Raw genomic sequence first — 5104 nt, forward strand, 5'->3', positions numbered from 1 at the left:
GGCGTGGCCAGCGAGCTGCCAGGCGGCGAGAACGCGCTGGGGGAACCCTTGGTCCGCTCTGCGCGTCGCTCTAGGATCCCCGAAAAGGAGCACGGGCGCGAAAGCGGCCAGGCTGGGCCAGGATCTAGAAAGACTGCCTGGCGCAGGCTCCCTGCCCCCGCGGGCCTGCTGTCATGGACTCGTGGAGAGCTCGCTTCCCGCGCGGACCCTTCCTGCAGGGGTCCACGTCCAGGCACCGGCGGCTCGGACACCCCACCCCCGGCCGGGCACCTGCCCTGGGTGCCCCTTAACCCGGGCGGTAGCTCGTTAAGATGGCGAAGTGTCCGGTCCGGAACACGCGAAACCCCAAATCCCGCCTGCCCGACCTCCTGACCCCCGGCCCCACGGGACGACAGACTGGGCCTCCCGACGCGCAGCGCGCTGCCGGGACACCGGTGCGTGCGAAACGGAGGACCTTTGTAACGCCACGTGTTTGCTCTTTTTGAAAAAACAAGAATAAATGTGTTAAACTGTCTGAAAAGCTTGCCGCCTAAAAGATGTCTGGGTGACTTAGATGCTAGGATCAGTTTGTTTTCAATGTAAATGGACCAGCCCGGACTCCGTACGGCACTAGCAGGGGACTGAAAGCGTCTTCAGGTACTGCTGGTGGGCGGTGATGCGCTACAGGCCGATCAGACAGTTTTGTGTCTTTTGGAACTTGACACTGCACCACGGTAATGCTGAACTGCACCAATATTACAGATCACAGCGCATCATCTTCCTTCAACATGATTTAACACAGTTGACTTAATATGGTGGATAAATGTAGAATCACAAATTACCATACCCCACCTCAGGCTTCTACTTCGTAATTTTGAGCAGGTTGTTTAACCTCTTTGTACCTCAGCTTCTTCATTACAAAAATAGGGGTACTAGCCAGGCGGGGTGGCTCGCGCCTGTAATCCCAGCACTTGGGGAGGCCGAGGCAGCCGGATCACTTGAGGTCAGAAGTTTCAGACCAGCCTGGTCAACATGGGTGAAACGCCGGCTCTACCAAAAATATAAAAACTTAGCTGAGTGTGGTAGCGCATGACTGTAATCCCAGCAACTCAGGAGGCTGAGGCAGAGAATCGCTTGAACCTGGGAGGCGGAGGTTGCAGTGAGCTGAGATCGTACCACTGCACTCCAGCTTGGGCGACAGAGCGAGACTCTGCCTTAAAAATAAATAAATAATTTTTTTAAAAAATAGGGGTACTAATATCTACCTTAAAGGATGAGGGTTAAATTAAGTACACACATAAGCCCTAGCGCAGTGGCTTATGCCTGTAATCTCAACACTTTGGGAGTCTGTGGCGGGAGGATCACTTGAGCCCAGGAGTTTGAGACTAGTCTGGGCAACAGAGACATGTCTCTATAGTTGTGTTTGGTTTTGTTTTTACCAGGTGTGGTGGTGTGCACCTGCAGTCCCAGCTACTAGGGAGGCTGAGGTGGGAGGACTGCCTGAGCCCAGGAGGTCGAGGCTGCAGTGAGCCATGATTGTGCCACTGCACTCCAGCCTGGGCAACACAGCAAGACCTTGTCTCAAAAACAAACAAAAAGCATACTCATAAAGTGCTCGGCTCCTATATGATTCAATATGTGGTGGTGGATTCTTGAATCCTTTCCTGACTCAGATCTCATACGATTTTCTGAACTTTTGGAGAATCCTTGCCTCTCTGCATTTGCAAACCGTCAAAGGCACTCCCTTCTGCCACCACACAAAGCATTTGATTTTAAACTTGACTATGTCCTTCTGTTCCAACTTTAGGTAAATTAATCTTGGTCAGGGTTCTCTGAACAGCCCTTTAGTCACTATGCCATTGAATACATGGCCCTACAGCTGGAAACTGGGGTAGAACAGTGATTGCAGGCATCCATCATGTGACAGCGAGGCCCCAAAGAAGGGGAGAGAATGCCACCACCACCAGTTTCAGAGAATGCCTATACACTGAGGGGACTGGTGTGTGGGAGAGAAGTTACTTGGAGAGCTACCAAGACAGCCTGAGCTACAGGATCCTGGTCTACCACTGGTGGATTCCCACCACTCTGGTTCTAAAATAACTTCCTAAACTTGTGCTTCACATACAGAATAAAGCATCTGTAATTCCATGGGAAGGTAAATCTTTATTCAAATGAAATGTTATTTTAAAGAGTAATAGCTGATGGCACAGGCACTAGCCAACCCTGGGAAAGCCTCCCTGGAGTTGTGGCTCCTGGAGTCCCAGCAGCCACTCTGCAGAGATCTTGGAGGTCCTAGTAAACCTGCCGGTGGCACTACAGGCAGGCTGCTTTTTTGGCAAGGGTGGCTTTGCTGAGAGCATCAAAATCTTGGAGGCAAACACCAAGGAGGTGTTCTCGGGCAAGATCGCACCTGAGTCACTGCTGCTCAATCCGCACCCAGAGGAGACGTCCCTGGAGACGTCTCCAGCCTCTCGCTATACTCACTGCAGCCTCGCCCACCAGCACATCTCAGGTGTCAGTGGCTTTTTCAAGGACAACTTCATGCTCCTGGTGCTGGAGCTCTGCCACCTGAGACCTCTCATGGAGTTGCACACGGGGAGAGCGCTAAGCCTGAGGGCACTACTGCCCGCAGTAGATCATCCTTGGCTGCCGGCACCTGCCTGAAACTGGATTAGTCACCGGGACCTCAAGCTGTACCCCCTCTTCCTGAATGATGACCTGGAGGTGAAAACGGGAAGATCTGGACTGGCAACCAAAGTCGAACATGATGGAAGGCAGAGGAAGACCCTGGGTGGGACTCCTGATTATGTAACTCCCAGGGTGCTGGGAAAGAAAGGGCACCGTTTCAAGGTGGATGTGTGGTCCCTTGGGTACATCACATATACCTTGTTAGTGGGCAAACCACCTTCTGAAACCTCTTGTCTAAGAGACCTACCTCTGGTCAAGAACACACACACTGTTCCCAAGCACAGCTACCCAATGGCCACCTCCCTCATCCAGAAGATACTTCAAATCCGACAGCACTCCCAAACCCCTGAGAAGCTGCTGAATAACGGGTTTTTCACATCTGGCTCCAGCCCCTCCCATCTCCCCATCATCTGCCTCCCATCGCACTGAGGTTCTCAATCCCTGCCAACAGCCTGGACCCTGGCAACTGCAAGCTTCTTGTGATCCTCAAGGCATGGAGAACCCCTGCCTGAGCAGCCCCAGGAAAAAGAGGAACCAGTGGCTTAGGGAATGGGACAGACGGTCAATGCCACTGTGGTGACATGCTGCAGCAGCTACACAGCACGGGCTGGTGAGGCAAGAGGAGGCTGAGGATGCCACCTGCATCCCCAGCTTCTGGGTCAGTGAGCAGGTAAACTGTTCCAACAAGCACAGCCTAGGGTATCAGCTGTGTGACAACAGTGTCACACATGCCTTATCCTCGACAACACCGTGACAGCCTGCAGTGCCTACGGTAGTGCTCCCTTATCCGAGGGGACATGTTCCAAGACCTCCGGTGGATGGTCTTGGGACTCACCGTGGCTGGAACTTTGGCAGTTTGAGGTGTGACAGCAAAACTAGCATGAATTTCTTTTTCCTTCTTTCCAATGTCATGGAGAGATTTGTTTTACTGCAGATCTCAGCAACTTCAGCATACAATGTTTTTCTTTCCTTATTAAGTGGAGAAGTTTTACCTTTTCACTTAAAAGAGCACTTTACAGCTTCTTGGTATATCCATAGTGCCAGCATCACTACTCTTGGGCTTTGGGGACATTACGAAGTAAAATAAGGGTTACCTGAACAGAAGCTGTGGACATGGGGAGAATTCCAATCCCAGGCAGGAGGGAGTGGGATGGTGCGAGATGTCATCACACTCCTCAGAACTGTGTGCAATTTAAAACTTATTAACTGTTTATTTATGGAATTTTCCATTGAATATTTTCGGACCTCGATTGATCATAGGTAACTGAAACCTCAGAAAACAAAACTGTGGATAAGCGGAAACTACTGTCCACAAAGCATGATGACACAAGTCCTGCCCCACTGTGTGTTCCCATCCAACTCACTGATGGAGGTCACCCCCCTAAGTATTTCCACAACCACCTGAGCAAACACTTACTGAAGAAGGGTGTCAACGTCACGCCACGGGAAGGCCATGAGCCTGCCCACCCCCTCCCCCGGGAGCACCTGTCTCCATGCCTGCAGCACCATCATCCCGCCCTCAACAGTGGCGCTGTGCGGGGCTGGCCAGAGCACATCGCCCTCGCAGGGGGGCTTGCTGTGGAAGTGGAAGTTCTATTTGTGCACGTTCCAGAGTGGGTTCTAGAGCTGCCTCCCTTCCCTTTCAGTCTCACCATAGGAATTACACAGAATATTTTTTTTTTTTTCTTTTGTGACAAAGTTTTGCTCTGTCTCCCAGGCTGGAGTGTCGTGGTGCGATCTCAGCTCACTGCAACTTCCGCCTCCCGGGTTCAAGTGATTTTCCTGCCTCAGCCTCCTGAGCAACGGGCATTACAGGGGCGCGCCACCACGCCCGGCTAATTTTAGTATTTTTAGTAGAGACGGGGTTTCACTACGTTGGTCAGGCTGGTCTCAAACTCCTGACCTCATGATCCGCCCGCCTCGGCTTCACAAAGTGCTGGTATTACAGGCGTGAGCCACTGCACGCGGCCAGGAATAACAGAGAATATTTCTACTGAATTCACGACTGTCCTGTGCTTGGCTTTATACTCATTAAACATATATGAATTTTTAAAAAGATAAATAACACATAAGCCAATACTGAGACTGAGACATAAATTGACTGGAATAGGTTTTGAGGACATAACCATCTAACCCTCTGGTTCCCAAATGTGATTAGATTTTAAGTAATTGAGGATAGGAAAACACAGGAAAGTCTCCTAGGAGCTGTCTCTATCTGCTCTCTTCCCTTTTTTTCTTCTTCCCACTCTTTCTTGAATCCATTACAATTCTAGCCTGAAGACTGAAATGGCTCATGGAAAAAAATCACCAATGATCTCCATCCACACAGCCAAATTCCATGCTCAAATCAATCCTCACCTTACTCAACCTACCAAGAGAAAGAGATCCAGAAGTCAACCCAGTAGCTTCCAAAGACTAGGCACATAGTTATAAACAA

General features: G+C 50.7%; 1 long non-coding RNA gene and 1 pseudogene across 1 annotated transcript, besides 2 other annotated features; both read left to right on the top strand.

Moving 5' to 3' along the window:
* On the top strand, positions 7 to 2127 carry MBTPS1-DT (MBTPS1 divergent transcript). The gene has a single exon (NR_186375.1). It is a non-coding gene; the product is annotated as an MBTPS1 divergent transcript (long non-coding RNA).
* Positions 227 to 326: a silencer, noted in NCBI's record as "silent region_7777". NCBI's record gives its function as "represses an Ori minimal core promoter by ATAC-STARR-seq in GM12878 lymphoblastoid cells {active_cell/tissue: GM12878}" and the evidence as "EXISTENCE:reporter gene assay evidence [ECO:0000049][PMID:35858748]".
* Positions 477 to 636: an enhancer, noted in NCBI's record as "active region_11232". NCBI's record gives its function as "activates an Ori minimal core promoter by ATAC-STARR-seq in GM12878 lymphoblastoid cells {active_cell/tissue: GM12878}" and the evidence as "EXISTENCE:reporter gene assay evidence [ECO:0000049][PMID:35858748]".
* Positions 2181 to 3400, top strand: LOC648774 (polo like kinase 1 pseudogene; annotated as a pseudogene).

This window comes from Homo sapiens, chromosome 16, assembly GCF_000001405.40.
Source record: "Homo sapiens chromosome 16, GRCh38.p14 Primary Assembly".
Classification (NCBI taxonomy): domain Eukaryota; kingdom Metazoa; phylum Chordata; class Mammalia; order Primates; family Hominidae; genus Homo; species Homo sapiens.